The sequence below is a fragment of the Homo sapiens genome, chromosome 16 (assembly GCF_000001405.40).
Source record: "Homo sapiens chromosome 16, GRCh38.p14 Primary Assembly".
NCBI lineage: Eukaryota > Metazoa > Chordata > Mammalia > Primates > Hominidae > Homo > Homo sapiens.
Genome location: NC_000016.10, coordinates 31896266 through 31917651, shown reverse-complemented (window position 1 = coordinate 31917651; position 21386 = coordinate 31896266). Strand labels below are relative to the sequence as shown.

Below are 21386 nucleotides of genomic sequence, written 5' to 3'. Positions count from 1 at the left end.
TCAGGCATTAGTTGGAGTCTCCTAAGGAGCACACAACCTAGATCCCTCACATGCATAGTTCACAATAGGGTTTATGAAAATCTAATGCCACCACTCATCTGAGAGGAGGCAGAGCTCAGGTGGTAATGCTTGCTCACCCACCACTCATGTCCTACTGGTGCAGCTCAGTTTCTAACAGGCCACAGACCAGTAACTGGTCTACAGCCTGGGAATGGGGACCTCTGCTTTAAATGAAGTCTTTTTAAAAAAAAAAAAAAAAAAAAACTTATGGAGGAATTGAAGTAATTTCAAAAATTCAGAATATCCCTCTTACTTTAATATAGAAAAGAGCTCTAAACACGTATATGTTTACATGCATTACTACTTTATTCAAACACAAAGAGCATATTTTTAAAAATTTTCATGTGTTTTACATTTGGCATTAAACTTCCATGAAAAATGCTGATATTAATGATATTAACGTAGAATGACCTCACATTGTTCTGATGCAGAAAAAAAAACAGAACACATATTTTCACATGAACACCACGGATTAAGGAAAAGCAGCAACAGATTTGAAAGCTGAATTATATAAATAATATTTGCTTTCCAAAAACCTCAAATACTGTAAATACAAATGAAGTATCTATGAAATATACCTGTCAAAACATCAATGTTCTTGCTACTTTAAAACATATAAGCAAATAAATTATCTAATTATTTTGCCTTTAGATTATTCTGTACAAAAAATACTCTTATTTAGTATAAAGGCTGAAAGTGTCTGTGCTTTAGTCCTTTCTCACATAAATTCTCTGACACATTTAGACTTCATTTTTTATTAAATACTTCCTCACATTTATTGCATCTGCAAACTTCCTTTTTCTATGAACCCCTAGGTGACTCATAAGTTTGATATTTTGAATAAAACTTTTCACATTTTTACATCTATAGTGTTTCTCTAGTATGGATTATCTTGAGTAAGGGTTGAGCACAGTTTAAAATAATTTGCCACATTTTTAATATTTGTATGGATTTTTTCAGTTTATATTCTCTGCTATTGTGTAAGGCTTGAAAATAGTTAAAGGTTATGCCACATTCTTAACATTTGTAGGGTTTCACTCCCATATAAATTATCTGATGCACAATAAGACATGGGTAACAAGTAAAAAATCTGCTCCATGTTTTACATTTTTAAAGTTTTTCTCTAGTATGACTTCTCTGATGTGCAATGAGGTATGACCTAGAGTTAAAGGCTTTGCCACATTCTTCACATTTGTAGGGTCTCTCTCCACTATGACTTCTCCGATGTGTAGTGAGGTATGACCTATAGCTGAAGGCTTTACCACATTCATCACATTTGTAGGGTCTCTCTCCAGTATGTCTTCTCCGATGTGTAGTGAGGTATGACCTAGAGTTGAAGGCTTTGCCACATTCTTCACATTTGTAGGGTCTCTCTCCAGTATGACTTCTCTGATGTGTAGTGAGGTATGACCTATAGTTGAAGGCTTTGCCACATTCTTCACATTTGTAGGGTCTCTGGCCAGTATGAATTCTCCGATGCTGAATAACATCTGAACTATAACTAAAGGCTTTGCCACATTCTTTACATGTATAGGGTTTCTCTCCAGTATGAGTTCGCCGATGCACAGTAAGACCTGAGGAGTCACTAAAAGATTTGCTACATGCTTTACATTTGTATGGTTTTTCTCCAGTATGAATTCGATGATGTCGAATAAGGTGTGAACTATAAGGAAAGGCTTTGCCACATTCTTTACATTTATAGGGTTTCTCTCCAGTATGAATTCTCTCATGCACAATAAGATTTGAGAAACAAGTAAAAGGTTTAGCACATACTTTGCATTTGTAAAGATTTTCTCCAGTATGAATTTTCCGATGTTGAGTAAGGCAAGAACTACGGCTAAAGACTTTGCCACATTCTTTACATTTATAAGGCTTCTCTCCAGTATGAACTCTCTGATGCATAATAAGATTTGAAGAACGAGCATAAGATTTGCTACATACTTTACATTTGTAAAGTTTTTCTCCTGTATGAGTTGTCTGATGTTGAGTAAGGCATGAACTACGGTTAAAAGCTTTTCCACATTCTTTACATTTATAAGGTTTCTCTCCAGTATGAATTCGCTTATGTTTAGTAAGGTATGAACTACAGCGAAAGGCTTTGCCACATTCTTTACATTTGTATGGTTTCTCTCCAGTGTGAATTCTCTGATGCACAATAAGATTGGAGGAACGAGTAAAAGATTTGCTACATGCTTTACATTTGTAAAGGTTTTCTCCAGTATCAATTTGCTGCTGTTTAGTAAGGTATAAACTACAGTTAAGGTTAAAGACCTTGCCACATTCTTTCCATTTACAGGGTTTCTCTTCGGTAGGAATGATCTGATGTTGAGTAAGGTGCAAACTATGGTTTAAGCTATCCCCACATTTTTCACATTTGTATGGTTTCTCTTCATTATGGATTATCTGCTTTCTAAGATTTGATGACTGACTAAGATCTTTATCATATTTGTTATAGCTATATGAGTTTTCTCTGATATGGATGGTCTGATGTTGAATATGTTTTAATGACTGGGTACAAACTTCTACACATTTATTACATTTGTAAGACTGTTCTTGTTTCTCTTGCCCATGCATACTCTGAAGAAAGACTTCCTCAAATTCTTTACATTTGTATTGTTTTTCTAGAAAATAATTTTCCTGATGATTTTTAGGGCTTGAGCTTTGGTTCAAGGTTTTTTCAGAATTATTGCAATGATAATTTTTCTCTCCAATAAAAACATTTCGGTAACTATTTAGAGTAGAGACCTGCCTAAATAACACTGAAGTTTTATCATATATGTGATGTTTTCCCCAAATATCTATTTCCTCTTGTTGATTAAGCAATGATGAATGAGTAAAGACCTTCCTATATTGATCAAAGTTATAGCTTTTGGCACAAGAAGAAAGTATTTGCTGGTGAAACAAACTTTCAACAGAGGATTCATCAAATTGATCATATTTAAAAGTCTTTTCATCATAACATCCATTGTGCCCTTCACACTCCTCCCTTTTCCACCTTTTTCTTAAATGTAAATTCTCAAGATCACAGCTCCCATGTCTCCTCGATATCACTTTTTGGAATGAAGCTTCTGTGCAGTGCTCTGTCAACAGGTCCTTGTTATAATGCGAAAACACATCTGAAAGATATAAAAATTTTAAGAATTCCAATTACTATATTCAGGTACATATATTTTACAAATCTAATATACAAAATTATGCTAAGTTGAGAATACAACAACAGTTGAGTGAAAAACCTGAGGCCGTGTTTTCTCAATTGATATACAAACTTTACTACAATAAAGTGGCACGTGAACTACTAAGACACCAACAGTGAAGGAAAGGGAGTGCTTGTGCCACCTTGCCCTTGCCCCTCAGCAGCATCTGCATGGCGGGGAGAAATCTGTTCATTTGGGAGACGGAGAGCACAGTGACTAGGGGACTACAATGAACCCAGTGCTGCCCTATCACAGCAGAGACCTGGCAGGATTCATCACCTTCTGACTTAGGAGCTGCTGGTCTCTGAATAACCTACAGTGGTACCCCAATAACACATCATGAACATTGGACTCCGAGATGTGCTGGCTTCAGGTGTGACCCAGAACATTTCCCACTGTGGTGGGTATAGTGAAAGACACCTTCTGTTTGAGCAAAGCAGAGGAAAAAGTAAATGGGATTCTGTCTTGCACCTGAGGTACCAGCTTGGCCACAGTGGGGTAGAGCACCAAGCAGACTCTTAGGGTCCCTGAGTCAGCATTTCTGGACCTGCCCTGCACCAAAGAGTAAGTCCCAGTTGTGGAAGCAGTCATCATAAGCTGACTGAAGAGTGCTTGGGTGTTGAGTGAACATCAGTGATAGCCCAGTGGAAACCCCTGTGGGCTGGTGGTGGTGGCAGACACATTGTGAGGCTCCTCTGCCTGCAGAAAGGGGAGGGAGGAGTGGTAAGGATGTTGTCTTGTAATTTGAATGCCAGCTTAGCTGCAGTAGAATAGAACACGAGATAAATAAGGCTTCTGACTTCAATACCTGGCTCCCACACAATATCTCTGAACCTACCTGGGGCCAAAGGGAACTCACTGCCCTGAGGAGACACAAACCTGGCTGGTTACCACCTGCTGATTGTAGAGGCCTAAGGTCTTGAGTAAACTTAGGTGGTAGCCAGGCAGTAATTACACTGGGCCTTGGGTGACACCCAGTGCTGTGCTCACTTCAAGTCTAAATTAGCACAGTCCCAGTGGTGGGGGCAACAGGGAAGCTTATGTCATCCCACCCCAGCTCCAGGTAGCTCAGCATAGAGAAAGAAATTCCATTCGTCTGGAAGAAACTAAGGGAAGAGAACAAGAGTCTCTGCTTGGTAATCCAGATAATTCATCGATTTTAACCAAGACCAACCACATGGTACCTCTATGAGTCTGCAAGAACAACGTTATTGAGTTTGAGATCCAAGTACCTTCAAATTCTGGAAAGCCTTCCCAACAAGGGTGGACACAAAGCCCAGACTGCGAAGGCTACAATAAATGCCTAACTCTTCAATGCCAAGACACAGATGAACATCTACACATTAAGACCATCCAGTAAAATATGGCCTCACCTAACAAACTGAATAAGGCATAAGAGGCCAATCCTGGAGAAACAAAATAAGTAACTTTTCAGACAGATGATTCAACATAGTTGTGTTGAGGAAACAAATTCAAGATAAAATAGAGAAGGAATTCAGATTCTATCAGATAAATCAAACAAAGAGGTTGAAATAATTAAAAGGAATCAAGCAGAAATTGAAGTTAAAAAAGCAATTGGCATACTGAAGAATGCATCAGTCTCTTAATAGCAAAACTGATCAGGCAAAAGAAAAAATTATTGAGCTTGAACATAGGCAATTTGAAAATATGTAGAGAAGACAAAAAAGAATGAAGTATGCCTACAAGATTTAGAAAACACCCTGAAAAGGGCAAATCTAAGAGTTGTTAGCCTTAAAGAGAGAAAGAGACAGGGGTAGAAAGTTTCAAGAATACGATCAGAGAACTTCCCAAATCTATAAAGATATCAATATCCAAGTACAACCAGGTTACAGAACACAAAGCAGATTGAACCCAAAGACGACTACCTCAAGACATTTAATAATCAAACTCCCAAAAATTAAGAATAAAGGATCCTAAAAGCAGCAAGAAAAAAGAAACAGCATACAATGAAACTCCAGTACGTCTGGCAGCAGATTTTCAGTGGAAATCTTACAGGCCAGGAGAGAATAGCATGACATATTTAAAGTGCTGAAGTAGCAAAGCTTTTACACTAGAATAGTCTATCCCGTGAAAATATTCCATAGCCATGAAGGAGAAAAAAATGACCTTCCCAGACAAACACTGAGAGATTTCATTAAAACCAGACCTGTCCTACAAGTAATACTAAGGGGCATTCTCTTCCATCTGTAAGAAAAGAATGTTAATGAACAATAAGAAGTCATCTGAAGGTACAGAACTCATTGGTAATAGCACAGAGAAAAACTGAGTATTATAATATGGTAACTGTGGTGTGTAAAATACTCAAGTAGAAATACTCAATGATGACTCAATACAACTACAACAATGTTTCAAGACAAAGACAGTACAATAAGACATAAAGAGAACCAACAAAAAGTTGAAAAATGGGGAAGCAAAGTTAAAGGTAGAGTTTTTACTAGTTTTCTTATTGCTTATTTGTTCACTTAGGCAATCAGTGTGAAGTTGTCAGCAGTTAAAACAATAGGTTATAAGATAGTATTTGTAAGTTTCATGGTAACCTCAAATAAAAAAACATACAACAGACACAGAAACCAAAAAGCAAGAAATTAAATCATACCACCAAGAAAAATCATGTTCACTAAAATGAAGACAGAAAGGAAGGACAAAAGAAAGAGAAGATGCAAAAACAAATAACAAAATGGCAGGAGTGAACACATACTTATCAATAATAATGCTGAATGGAAATGCACTAAACACTCCAATTAGATGACATAGAATGGGTGAAAAAAAGAAAAAGGAAGACCCAATTATCTGCTGCCCACAAGAAATACACTTCATCTATAAAGATACACATAGACTGAAAAATAAAAGAATGGAAAAATGTTCCATGCCAATGAAAACAAAAAAAAAGAACCAAAGTAGCTATACTTACATCAGATAAAATATATTTCAAGATAAAAACTGTGAAGACAGAACAAATGTCATTTTATGATAAAGGGATCAATTCAGTCAGAGAATATAACAATTTTAAATATCCATGCACCCTACACTAAAGCACTGAGACATAGAGTATTAGAGCTAAAGAGAGAGGCCCCAATACAATAATAATTGAGACTTCAACACACCACTTTCAGCATTGTACAGATCTTACAGATAGAAAATCATGAAAGAAACATCAGACTTAATCTGTGCTATAAACCAAATATACCTAATAAATATTTGCAGAACATTTTATCTAATGGCTACAGAACACACATTCTTCTCAGCACATAGATAATTTTCAGATACACAACATTTTAGGTTACAAAACAAGTCTTAAAACATTCAGAAAAGTGAAATAATATCAAACATCTCTGCCCACAATGGAATATAACTAGAAATCAGTAACAAGAATTTTGGAAACTATACAAACAAATGTAAATTAAACAATACGCTCCTCAATGAAAATTGGATCAGTAAAGAAATTAAGAACGAAATTGAAAAATTTCTTCAAACAAATAATGAAAAAACACATACCAAAACCTATGGGATACAGCAAAAGCAGTACTGAGAAATGTATAGATATATGTGCTTACATCAAAAAAGAAAAAAATCATATAACCTAATGTTGGATCTTAAAGAAAAAACAGCAAAACAAAAATTATAATAAACATCACAGCAGAAATAAAATTCAAATAAAAAATACAAAAAAAATCAATGAAATGAAAAGTTGATTTTTTTAAGCAGATAAATAAAATTTACAAACCTTTAGCTTGACTAAGAAAAAAAGAAGACCCACATAAAACCAGAGATGAAAAAGGAGACATTATAACTGACACTGCAGAAATTCAAAAGATTATTAGTGGCTATTATTAACAACTGTATGCCAACTAATTGGAAAATCTAACAAAAATGGGTAAGTTCCCAGATATATACAACTTACCAAGATTAAACAACGAAGAAATCCAAAACATGAACAGACCAATAAGAAGTAACAAGTTCAAAGCCATAATAAAAAGTCTCCCAGTAAAGAAAAGCCCAGGACCTGATGGCTTCACCACTAAATTCTACCCAACATTTAAAGATCTAATACCAGCTCTACTCAAAAACTTCCAAAACACAGGAGGAAGGAATACTTCCCAACTCATTCTTTGAGGCCAGTATTACCATAATACCCAAATCAGAAAAAGATACATCAAAAGATGAAAACTGTACGCCAATATCTATAATAAATATTTATGTAAAAATAACAAAGTGTTAGCAAACAGAATTCAACAACACATTAAAAGATTGTTCATTATGACAAAGTGGGATTTATCCCAGGGATGCAAGAATGGTTCATCATATGCAATCAATCAGTATGATACATCAACAGAATGAAGGACAAAATCATATGATCATTTCAACTGCTGCTGAAAAAAGGATTTAATAAAATTCAACATCCTTTGATAATAAAAACTCTCAAAAAGCTGGGTATAGAAAGAACATACCTCAAAATAATAAAAACCATATATGACAGATCCACAGCTAGTATCATCCTGAATGGAGGAAAAAAATCTGAAAGTCTTTTCTCTAAGATCTGGAACATAACAAGGATGTCCACTTTCAACACTGTTATTCAACATAGTACTGGAAGTGCTAGCTACAGCAGCAGTAAAACGAGAAAAAACTAAATGGCATCCAAATTGGAAAGGAAGTCGTCAAATTATTCTTGTTTGCAGATGGTACAGTCTTATATTAAGAAAAATCTAAAGACTCCACCAAAAAACAGTAAGAACTGATAAAGTTGCAGGATATAAAATGAACATACAAACATCAATAGCATTTCTATATGCCAACAGAGAATCTGAAAAAAGAGATTAGAAAGTAATTCCATTTACAGTAGCCACAAATAAAATTAAATACCTAGACATTAACTTAACCAAAGAAGTGAAAGATCTGTACAATGAAAACTATAAAACATGAATGAAAGACATTGAAGAGGATGGCTGGGTGCAGTGGCTCACACCTGTAATCCCAGCACCCTAGGAGGCCGAGGTGGGCAGATCACTTGAGGTCAGGAGTTTGAGACCAGCATAGTCAACATGGTGAAACTCCGTCTCTACTAAAAATACAAAAAATTAGCCAGGCACGGTGGCGCATGCCTGGAGTCCCAGCTACTTGGGAGGCTGCGGCAGGAGAATCACTTGAACCCGGGAGGCGGAGGTTGCAGTGAGCCGAGCCGAGATCGTGCTACTGCACTCCAGCCTGGGCGACAAGAGGGAGATACGTCAAAAAAAAAAAAAAAAAAAAAAAAAAGAAAAGAAAAGAAATAGAAGATAGAAGAGGACACACACACACACACACACACACACGAAAAATATCCCATGTCAATGGATTGGAAGAATCAATATTGTTAAAATATCCATACTACTCGAAACAATCTACAGAATCAATGCAATCCCTATGAAAATACTAATGACATTCTTCACAGAATTAGAAAAAACAATCCTAAAATATATATGGAACCACAAAAGACTCAGAATAGCAAAGCTATCCTAAGCTAAAAGAACAAAACTTAAGGAGTCACATTATCTGATTTCACATTACACTAAAGAGCTGTAGTAATCAAAATGGTATGGTACTGGCATAAAAACAGACACACAGACCAATGCAACAGAATAGAGAACCCAAAAACAACTCCAGACACCTTGAGTGGACTCGTTTTTAACAAAGATGTTAAGAACATACACTAGAGAAAGGACAGTTTTTTTTCAATAACCAGTGCTAAAAAAAAACTGGATATCCATATATATGAAGACAAGCTATTCATTAAAAACAGAAACTAGACCCTATCTCTCACCATACACAAAAATCAAATCAGAATGGATTAAGGACTTTAAGATTTCAAACTATGAAACTACTACAAGAAAACATTGGGGAAACTCTCCAGGACAATGGTTGGTGTAAAAATTTCTTAAGTAATGTATTAAAGCACAGGGAAACAAAGCAAAAATGGACATATGGGATCATGTCAAGTTAAAAAGCACCTGGACAACAAAGGAAATACTCAATAAAGTGAAGAAACAACCCACAGAATGGGAGAAAATATTCACAAACTACGCATCTGACAAAGGATCAATAATCAGAATATGTAAGGAGCTCAAACAACTCTTTAAGAAACAATCTAATAATCCAATCAAAAATGGGCACAAGATTTGAAGGGACATTTCTCAAAAAAACCCAAACTAGGGAGCAGTGGCACAATCACCGCTCACTGCAGGCATAAATTTCTGAAGTTAACTGATTCTCCTGCCTCAGCTTCCTGAGTACCTAAAACTACAGGCATGCATCATCACACCTAGTGTATTTATTATTAGTATTATTTTTTTTTTTTGAGACAGAGTCTTGCGTTGTCACCCAGGCTGCAGTGCAGTGGCGCTATCTTGGTTCACTGCAAGCTCCACCTCCCGGGTTCAGGCCATTCTCCTGCCTCAGCCTCCTGAGTAGCTGGGACTACAAGCACCCATCACCACACCCGGCTAATTTTTTTTTTTTTCAATTTTTAGTAGAGACGGGGTTTCATCATGTTAGCCAGGACGGTCTCAATCTCCTGACCTCGTGATCCACCCGCCTCGGCCTCCCAAATTGCTGGGATTATAGGCATGAGCCACTGCGCCCAGCCATATTTATTATTTTTTATAGACACAGGGTCTCAATATATTGCTCAGGCAGGTCTCAAACTCCTGGCCTCAAATGATCCTCCAACTTCAACCTCCAAAGTAGCTGGGATAACAGGCATGAGCCACATAACTGGCTAAAATATTTATATTAAAAATGTTCAAACAACTAAAGGAGAACACAACTAAACTAAAAGAGAAAATGGATGATGAAAATGAACAGAGATTAAACCTATAAAAACACAAAGTGTGGAGGTAAAAATAAAAACTAAATTTAAAGATTCACTAGATGAGGTCTACAGCAGACCTGATGTAGCAGGTAAAAAATCCCCAGCACACTTGATAACAGGTCATTTGAAATTTTGAAGTCAGGAAGGCAAACAGGATTAAAAAATGAAGGAAAAAAGAGCCTAGTAAACCTATGGGATACTATCAAGTAGGCCAACATACTCATGAGAATTCTAAACTGAAAAAGAGCAGAAAATTTATTTGAAGTAATAATGACTAAGAATTTTCCAAATTTGATGGAGAAAATGGCCTAAAATTTAAAGTTCAACCAACTCTAGCAGCAACACAAAGAGACTCACATGAGACATTATAATCAGAAATTCAAAAGTGACAAAGAGAATCTTGAAGTCAGAAAGAAAAAGATGACTTGGCACATACAAGGCCACTCTTATAAAATGATCAACAGATGTCTCAGCAAAAAATCTCACAAGCCAGAAGATGGCAGGATGATATATTGAAAGTGATGAAAAAATAACAACTACCTACTATGAACACTACATCTGCCCAAACTATACTTTAAAAATGAATTAGAAAAAAAGAACTTTGGGGGGAGGAGCCAAGATGGCCAATAGGAACAGCTCCAGTCTACAGCTCCCAGCCTGAGCCACGCAGAAGACGGGTGATTTCTGCATTTCCAACTGAGGCACTGGGTTCATCTCACTGGGGAGTGCCAGACAGTGGATGCAGGACGGTGGGTGCAGCCCACCGTGCGTGAGCCGAAGCAGGGTGAGGCACTGCCTCACCTGGGAAGTGCAATGGGTCAGGGAATTCCCTCTCCTAGTCAAAGAAAGGGGTGACAGACGGCACCTGGAAAATCGGGTCACTCCCACCCTAATACAGCGCTTTTCCAATAGGCTTAACAAACGGCACACCAGGAGATTATATCCCGCACCTGGCTCGGAGGTTCCTACACCCACGGAGTCTCACTGATTGCTGGCACAGCAGTCTTGAGATCAAACTGCAAGGTGGCAGCAAGGCTGGGGGAAGGGTGCCCACCATTGCCCAGGCTTGAGTAGGTAAACAAAGCGGTCCGGAAGCTCCAACTGGGTGGAGCCCACCACAGCTCAAGGAGGCCTGCCTGCCTCCGTAGACTCCACCTCTGGGGGCAGGACACAGACAAATAAAAGGCAGCAGTAACATCTGCAGACTTAAATGTCCCTGTCTGTCAGCTTTGAAGAGAGTAGTGGTTCTCCCAGCACACAGCTTGAGATCTGAGAATGGGCAGACTGCCTCCTCAAGTGGGTCCCTGACTAGCCTATCTGGGAGGCACCCCCCAGTAGGAGCTGACTGACACCTCACACGGCCGGGTACTCCTCTGAGACAAAACTTCCAGAGGAATGATCAGGCAGCAGCATTTGCGGTTCACCAATATCCGCTGTTCAGCAGCCACCACTGCTGATACTCAGACATACAGGGTCTGGAGTGGACCTCCAGCAAACTCAAACAGACCTGCAGCTGAGGTTCCTGACTGTTAGAAGGAAAACTAACAAACGGAAAGGACAACCACACCAAAAACCCATCTGTACGTCACCATCATCAAAGACCAAAGGTACATAAAACCACAAAGATGGGGAAAAAACAGCAGAAACACTGGAAACTCTAAAAATCAGAGTGCCTCTCCTCCTCCAAAGGAACGCAGCTCCTCAAAATCAATGGAACAAAGCTGGACGGAGAATGACTTTGACGAGGTGAGAGAAGAAGGCGTCAGACAATCAAACTACTCTGAGCTAAACGAGGAAGTTCGAACCCATGGCAAAGAAGTTAAAAACCTTGAAAAAAAATTAGACGAATGGCTAACTAGAATAACCAATGCAGAGAAGTCCTTAAAGGACCTGATGGAGCTGAAAACCAAGGCACACGAACTACGTGACGAATGCACAAGCCTCAGTAGCCGATTCGATCAACTGGAAGAAAGGGTACCAGTGATGGAAGATGAAATGAATGAAATGAAGCGAAAAGAGAAGTTTAGAGAAAAAAGAATAAAAAGAAACGAACAAAGCCTCCAAGAAATATGGGATTATGTGAAAAGACCAAATCTACGTCTCATTGGTGTACCTGAAAGTGACGAGGAGAATGGAACCAAGTTGGAAAACACTCTGCAGGATATTATCCAGGAGAACTTCCCCAATCCAGCAAGGCAGGCAAACATTCAAATTCAGGAAATATAGAGAATGCCACAAAGATACTCCTCAAGAAGAGCAACTCCAAGACATATAATTGTCAGATTCACCAAAGTTGAAAGGAAGGAAAAAATGTTAAGGGCAGCCAGAGAGAAAGGTCAGGTTACCCACAAAGGGAAGCCCATCAGACTAACAGCTGATCTCTTGGCAGAAACTCTACAAGCCAGAAGAGAGTGGGGGCCAATATTCAACATTCTTAAAGAAAAGAATTTTCAACCCAGAATTTCATATCCAGCCAAACTAAGCTTCATAAGTGAAGGAGAAATAAAATCCTTTACAGACAAGCAAATGCTGAGAGATTTTGTCACCACCAGGCCTGCCCTACAAGAGCTCCTGAAGGAAGCACTAAACATGGAAAGGAACAACCGGTACCAGCCACTGCAAAAACATGCCAAACTGTAAAGACCATCAAGGCTAGAAAGAAACTACATCAACTAATGAGCAAAATAACCAGCTAACATCATAATGACAGGATCAAATTCACACATAAGAATATTAACCTTAAATGTAAACGGGCTAAATGCTCCAATTAAAAGACACAGACTGGCAAATTGGATAAAGAGTCAAGACCCATCAGTGTGCTGTATTCAGGAAACCCATCTCATGTGCAGAGACACATATAGGCTCAAAATAAAGGGACGGAGGAAGATCTACCAAGCAAATGGAAAACAAAAAAAGGCAGGGTTGCAATCCTAGTCTCTGATAAAACAGATTTTAAACCAACAAAGATCCAAAGAGAGAAAGAAGGCCATTACATAATGGTAAAGGGATCAATTCAACAAGAAGAGCTAACTATCCTAAATATATATGTACCCCATACAGGAGCACCCAGATTCATAAAGCAAGTCCGTAGTGTCCTACAAAGAGACTTAGACTCCCACACAATAATAATGGGAGATTTAACAACCCATTGTCAACATTAGACAGATCAACAGGACAGAAAGTTAACAAGGATATCCAGGAATTGAACTCAGCTCTGCACCAAGCGGACCTAATAGACATCTACAGAACTCTCCACCCCAAATCAACAGAATATACATTCTTTTCAGCACCACACCACACCTATTCCAAAATTGACCACATAGTTGGAAGTAAAGCACTCCTCAGCAAATGTAAAAGAACAGAAATGATAACAAACTGTCTCTCACACCACAGTGCAATCCAACTAGAACTCAGGATTAAGAAACTCACTCAAAACTGCTCAACTACATGGAAACTGAACAACCTGCTCCTGAATGACTACTGGATACATAACGAAATGAAGACATAAATAAAGACGTTCTTTGAAACCAACAAGAACAAAGGCACAACATACCAGAATCTCTGGGACACATTCAAAGCAGTGTGCAGAGGGAAATTTATAGCACTAAATGCCCACAAGAGAAAGCAGGAAAGATCTAAAATTGACACCCTAACATCACAATTAAAAGAACTAGAGAAGCAAGAGCAAACACATTCAAAAGCTAGCAGAAGGCAAGAAATAACTAAGATCAGAGCAGAACTGAAGGAAACAGAGAAACAAAAAACCCTTCAAAAAATCAATGAATCCAGGAGCTGGTTTTTGAAAGGATCAACAAAATTCATAGACCCATAGCAAGACTAATAAAGAAGAAAAGAGAGAAGAATCAAATAGATGCAATAAAAAATGACAAAGGGGATATCACCACCGATCCCACAGAAATACAAACTACCATCAGAGAATACTATAAACACCTCTACGCAAATAAACTAGAAAATCTAGAAGAAATCGATAAGTTCCTCAACACATACACTCTCCCAAGACTAAACCAGGAAGAAGTTGAGTCTCTAAACAGACCAATAACAGGCTCTGAAATTGAGGCAATAATTAATAGCTTACCAACCAAAAAAGTCCAGGACCAGATGGATTCACAGCTGAATTCTACCAGAGGTACAAGGAGGAGCTGCTACCGTTCCTTCTGAAACTATTCCAATCAATAGAAAAAGAGGGAATCCCTCCCTAACTCATTTTATCAGGCCAGCATCATCCTGAGACCAAAGCCTGGCAGACACACAACAAAAAAAGAGAATTTTAGACCAATATCCTTGATGAACATTGATGCAAAAATCCTCAATAAAATACTGGTAAACCGAATCCAGCAACACATCAAAAACCTTATCCACCATGATCAAGTGGACTTCATCCCTGGGATGCAAGGCTGGTTCAAAATACGAAATTCAAGAAACATAATCCAGCATATAAACAGAACCAAAGACAAAAACCACATGATTATCTCAATAGATGCAGAAAAGGCCTTTGACAAAATTCAACAACGCTTCATGCTAAAAACTCTCAATACATTAGGTATTCATGGGACGTCATAGATAAGAGCTATCTATGACAAACCCACAGCCAATATCACACTGAATGGACAAAAACTGGAAGCATTCCCTTTGAAAACTGGCACAAGACAGGGATGCCCTCTCTCACCACTCCTATTCAACATAGTGTTGGAAGTTCTGGCCAGGGCAATCAGGCAGGAGAAGGAAATAAAGGGTATTCAATTAGGAAAAGAGGAAGTCAAGTTATCCCTGTTTGCAGATGACATGACTGTATATCTAGAAAACCCCATCGTCTCAGCCCAAAATCTCCTTAAGCTGATAAGCAACTTCAGCAAAGTCTCAGGATACAAAATCAATGTGCAAAAATCACAAGCATTTTTATACACCAATAACAGACAAACAGAGAGCCAAATCATGAGTGAACTCCCATTCACAATTGCTTCAAAGAGAATAAAATACCTAGGAATCCAACTTACAAGGGATGTGAAGGACCTCTTCAAGGAGAACTACAAACCACTGCTCAATGAAATAAGAGTATACAAACAAATGGAAGAACATTCCATGCTCATGGGTAGGAAGAATCAATATTGTGAAAATGGCCATACTGCCCAAGGTAATTTACAGATTCAATGCCATCCCCATCAAGCTACCAATGACTTTCTTCACAGAATTGGAAAAAACTACTTTAAAGATCATATGGAACCAAATAAGAGCCTGCATCACCAAGACAATCCTAAGCCAAAAGAACAAAGCTGGAGGCATCATGCTACCTGACTTCAAACTATACTACAAGGCTACAGTAACCAAAACAGCACGGTACTGGTACAAAAACAGAGATATAGACCAGTGGAACAGAACAGAGCCCTCAGAAATAATGCCGCATATCTACAACCATCCGATCTTTGACAAACCTGACAAAAACAAGCAATGGGGAAAGGATTCCCTATTTAATAAATGGTGCTGGGAAAACTGGCTAGCCATATGGAGAAAGCTGAAAATGGATCCCTTCCTTACACCTTATACAAAAATTAATTCAAGATGGATTAAAAACTTACATATTAGACCTAAAACTTAAGAACCCTAGAAGAAAACCTAGGTAATACCATTCAGGACATAGGCATGGGCAAGGACTTCCTGTCTAAAACACCAAAAGCAATGGCAACAAAAGCCAAAATTGACAAATGGGATCTAATTAAATGAAAGAGCTTCTGCACAGCAAAGGAAACCACCATCAGAGTGAACAGGCAACCTACAGAATGGGAGAAAATTTTTGCAACCTACTCATCTGACAAAGGGCTAATATCCAGAATCTACAATGAACTCAAACAAATTTACAAGAAAAAAACAACCCCATCAAAAAGTGGGTGAAGGATATGAACAGACACTTCTCAAAAGAAGACATTTATGCAGCCAAAAGACACATGAAAAAATGCTCATCATCACTGGCCATCAGAGAAATGCAAATCAAAACCACAATGAGATACCATCTCACACCAGTTAGAATGGCGATCATTAAAAAGTCAGGAAACAAGTGCTGGAGAGGATGTGGAGAAATAGGAACACTTTTACACTGTTGGTGGGACTGTAAACTAGTTCAACCATTGTGAAAGTTGGTGTGGCGATTCCTCAGGGATCTAGAACTAGAAATACCATTTGACCCAGCCATCCCATTACTGGGTATATACCCAAAGGATTATAAATCATGCTGCTCTAAAGACACATGCACATGTATGTTTATTGTGGCAGTATTCACAATAGCAAAGACTTGGAACCAACCCAAATGTCCAACAATGATAGACTGGATTAAGAAAATGTGGCACATATACACCATGGAATACTATGCAGCCATAAAAAATGATGAGTTCATGTCCTTTGTAGGGACATGGATGAAGCTGGAAACCATCATTCTCAGCAAACCATCCCAAGGACAAAAAACGAAACACCGCATGTTCTCACTCATAGGTGGGAATTGAACAAAGAGAACACATGGACACAGGAAGGGGAACATCACACACTGGGGCCCGTTGTGGGGTGGGGGGAGAGGAGAGGGATAGCATTAGAAGATATACCTAATGCTAAATGACGAGTTAATGGGTGCAGCACACCAACATGGCACATGTATACAAATGTAACAAATCTGCACGTTGTGCACATGTACCCTAAAACTTAAAATATAATAATAAAATAAATAAAAAAATAAAAATAAGTTAAAAATTAAAAAAAAAAAAAAAAAGAAAGAATTCTTGGGGCCGGGCACAGTGACTCATGCTTGTAATCCCAGCACTTTGGGAGGCCAAGACGGGTGGATCACGAGGTCAGGAGATCAAGACCATCCTAGCTAATGCAGTGAAACCCCATCTCTACTAAAAATACAAAAAAATAGCTGGGCGTGGTGGCAGGCACCTGTAGTCCCAGCTACTCAAGAGGCTGAGGCAGGAGAATGGCGTGAACCCAGGAGGCGGAGCCTGCAGTGAGCCAAGATCTCGCCACCACACTCCAGCCTGGGTGGCAGAGCGAGACTCCGTTTCAGGAAAAAAAATAAAGAAATAAAGAATTCTTAATAAAAGCTAAATGAATTTATATCCATTAGACCTGTCATACAAGAAATGCTAAAGGAGTCAGTTCTTTATATTGAAAAATAACATGATGGTAGGGAGGAACACAAAATCATGTAACAGTATAAAGTTTTCTGGTTAAGGTAATAATATACACAAATAAAGTATTCGGTATTATTGTAATAATAGTATATAGAATACTTTTAATTCTGCTATACATTTGAAAAGACAAACACTTTCTCGTGTGTGTGACTGTATGGCTCTCTTTTTTTTTTAATTTACCTGATACAATTCTGTATTATTACTAATTACATGGAAATATAGGATACAAAGATGACACAAAATTTTCAGTATCTTGTGGAAATGAATACACTACACACACAGTTTATATATATATATAAATAAACACATTGTGTGTGTGTATGTGTGTGTGTGTGTATATATATATGGATGACACCAAGGGTTCAATTAAAATGCAACTGGCAGCTAGATTAATTTCTAAAAAGGTAATTAAGAAGTCCTAATTGCAATTTACTTCTTGATTCATTTTTGTTTTATATTACAATCTAGGTTATTAGAAAATACACTCATATGAGTATATCATTTATAATATGCTTATAAAGTATTTTAAATAAAAATATTGAGTGGCATTATGCAATCTGTATAACCAATAACTAGGCATTAGAGAGCCTGTTAACTTTGAAATACATACAGGTATGCAGACTTCCTGTTCCTAAACACCACAGTTAGGCACATCTCTCACATTTTCCTTTCACTATGTAATTTTAAGATTTTTTCCTCTTGCTTCTCTAGTTCTTTTAATCGTGATGTTAGGGTGTCGCTTTTAGATCTCTCCTGCTTTCTCTTGTGGGCATTTAGTGCTATAAATTTCCACCTACACACTGCTTTAAATGTGTCCCAGAGATTCTGGTATGTTGTGTCTTTGTTCTCATTGGTTTCAAAGAACATCTTTATTTCTGCCTTCATTTGGTTATTTACCCAGTAGTCATTCAGGAGCAGGTTGTTCAGTTTCCATGTAGTTGTGCAGTTTTGAGTGAGAGTCTTAACCCTGAGTTCTAATTTGATTGCACTGTGGTCTGAGAGACAGTTTGTTGTGATTTCTGTTCTTTTACATTTGCTGAAGAGTGTTTTACTTCCAATTATGTGGTCAATTTTAGAATAAGTGCAATGTGGTGCTAAGAAGAATGTATATTCTGTTGACTTGGGTTGGAGAGTTCTGTAGATGTCTATTAGGTCTGCTTGGTCCAGAGCTGACTTCAAGTCCTAGATATCCTTGTTAATTTTCTGTCTCCTTGATCTAATATTGACAGTGGGGTGTTAAAGTCTCCCATTATTATTGTGTGTGAGTCTAAGTCTCTTTGTAGGTCTCTAAGAACTTGCTTTATGAATCTGGGTGCTCCTGTATTGGGTGTATATATATTTAGGATAGTTAGCTCTTCTTGCGGAATTGATCCCTTTACCATTATGTAATGGCCTTGTCTCTTTTGACCTTTGTTGGTTTAAAGTCTGTTTTATCAGAGACCAGGATTGCAACCCCTGCTTTTTTTGCTTTCCATCTGCTTGGCAGATCTTCCACCATCCCTTTATTTTGAGCCTATGTGTGTGAAAAGACAACACTTAAAAATAACCGTAAATCTGTGTTAATGGATTCACAATAAAAAGCATATAATTTGTGACCTCAATAAAATACAATAAGGGGACATAGAGAGGCAGGATTTTTGTATGCTACTAAAGTTATCAGGTTAATACAAATTGTTAATAATTTTAAGATGTTTTGTGTAATATCTATGGTAACCACAAAAATACCTATAGTAGATACACAAAAAGAAATGAGAAAGGAATCAAAATATGCCACTATAAAAAAAAATCAATAAAACACCAAGGAAGACAGCAAGAGGAAAACAGAAACAAAAAAGCTACAAAATCTAAAATAAAAAACAAAAAGCAATGTCATTCCCTTTCAGTAATTACTTTGTACATAAAAAAAATTAAATCATTCACAAGACAAAATTTGGCTGAAATTCAATAAACAAGATCCGACTCTATGCTTTCAATAAAAGACCCACTTTAGATACAAAAACACACATGGGCTGAACATGAAAGCATGGAAAAAAGAAATTAAATGCAAAGTAAAATACTATCAGACAAAATATACATTACATCAAAAACTGTCACAAAATACAAGAAAGGGCATTATATAATAATAATAATAGTGTCCACTGACCAGAAAGCTATAACAAGCATTAGCATATATGCACCTAATGTCACAGCTCCCATATATACATTGTGACCTTTCACAGAATTGAAGCAAGTAGCTAGCAGCACAATAATAGTAGAAGACTTCCATACTCCACTTTCAGTAATGCAAAAACGAACAAAACCAAAAACAGAAAGAAGATCAATAAGGAAACAGAAGACTTGAACACTAAAGACAATTAGACTTAACATATATACATAACTTGTCACCCAACAACAGCAAAATACACAATGTCTTTAATCACATATGGTACATTATTCCAGATAGACAACTTTTTAAGCCATAAAATGTCTTAACAAATTTAAACAGATGGAAATCACACAAAGTATTATTTTTGACTACAACAGAATAGCTTTAAGTTAAAAATGAAAAGAAAACTGGCAGGTCTACAAATATGTAGAAATTAAACAGTCTCAAACACACAAACTTGTTTAAGAGTTTGAAGACTCAATATTCTTAAGATGTCAATACTATCCAAGGTGATTTACAGATTCAATGTACTCTCTATCAAAATATCAATAGATCTCTTTGCAGAAGTATTAAAATATTCTAAAATATCTATGGAATTTCAAGAAATCAGAAATAGCCAAACAATCTTGGGGGGAAAAAAAGGAGACATCTACTTTCTGATTTTAAAACATATTACAAAGCTATAGTAATCAAAACAGTGTGGTACTCAAAGACAGACAAGTATTATAGATGATGTAAAGATTAGAGAGCCCATAAATCCTCATGTATATAGTAAATTTATCTTCAACAAGGGTTCTAAGAACACACAATGAGGAAAGAACAGTCTCCTCACCAAAGAATGTTAGAAATACTAGAAATTTGCATGGGAAAGAATAAAGTTGGACCTCACTTTGTACCATATACAAACATGAACTTTAAATGAACTGACTTTCTTTTTGTAGCTATTGTGAATGGAATTATGAAATTTTATATCCTGCAACTTTAATGAATTTATTACTCCTAACAGTTTTGTTGTTTCTGGGTTTTTTTTGTTTTGTTTTGTTTTGTTTTTTTGGTGTTTGGTGTTGTGTTCAGGTTTTGTAAATGTAAGATCTTTTTGTCTCTAACAGGAACCATTTAACTTCCTCGTTTCCAATTTAGATGTAAAAGACATCTACTACTAAGTACTAAAATTAAGATACCTAGCAATGAACGTAACTAAGAAGATGAAATATTCCTACATTAAAACTACAAAGCATGGATGAAAAAATAAAATATATGTGAATAAATGAAAAGATATCTTGTGTTCATAGATTGAAAAGATATAATTAAAATGGCCATACTACCCCAAATGATCTATGAATTTAATGCAACTCTGATCAAAAAGTCACCAGCATTCTTCACAGAAATAGAAAAAAAAATTCTAAATTTATATGGAACCACAAGGGACCCTGAATAGCCAAAACAATCCTGAGCAAAAAGAATAAATCCGGAGACAATACAATACCTTACGTCAAAATTTACGACAAAGCTACAGTAAACTAAACAGTATTGTACTGGCACCAAACAGACATATAGACCAATATGCCTGCTGAGCCAAAAAATGCATTCATGCATCTAAAGCAAACTGATTTTCAAATGTGCCAAGAATACACTTTGGGGAAAAGACAGTTTCCTCAATAAATGATGCAGGAAAAATTGAATATCCATATGCAGAAGAATGAGACTACACTGCTACCACTCACCATATACCAAAAAAATCAAGTCAAACTGGATTAAAGAATTAAGTGTAATCAGCCCAAACTATTTCATAGTTTGCATAGGGCATTTGCATAGGGCAAATGCTTTAGTACAGACTTGGAAAATATTTTTCAAATAAGACTTCAAAAGCATGGCCAGTTGCAGTGGCTCGCTCATGCCTGTAATCCCAATGCTTTGGGACG

The 21386-nt window shown here is 37.2% G+C and overlaps 1 protein-coding gene across 3 annotated transcripts in view; it reads right to left on the bottom strand.

The window, feature by feature from the left end:
* Positions 1–294: 294 nt before the first annotated feature.
* ZNF267 (zinc finger protein 267) overlaps positions 295–21386 on the bottom strand; it is a 43551-nt gene continuing 22459 nt past the window's right edge. For all 3 annotated transcript variants that reach the window (NR_049749.2, NM_001265588.2, NM_003414.6), the window contains one exon: positions 295–3176. Coding sequence is in view for 2 of the 3 variants with exons in the window: in NM_001265588.2 (NP_001252517.2) it covers positions 1171–3176 (2006 nt within the window). In the remaining variant the exon portion in view is untranslated. The remainder of the gene's footprint in view (positions 3177–21386) is intronic.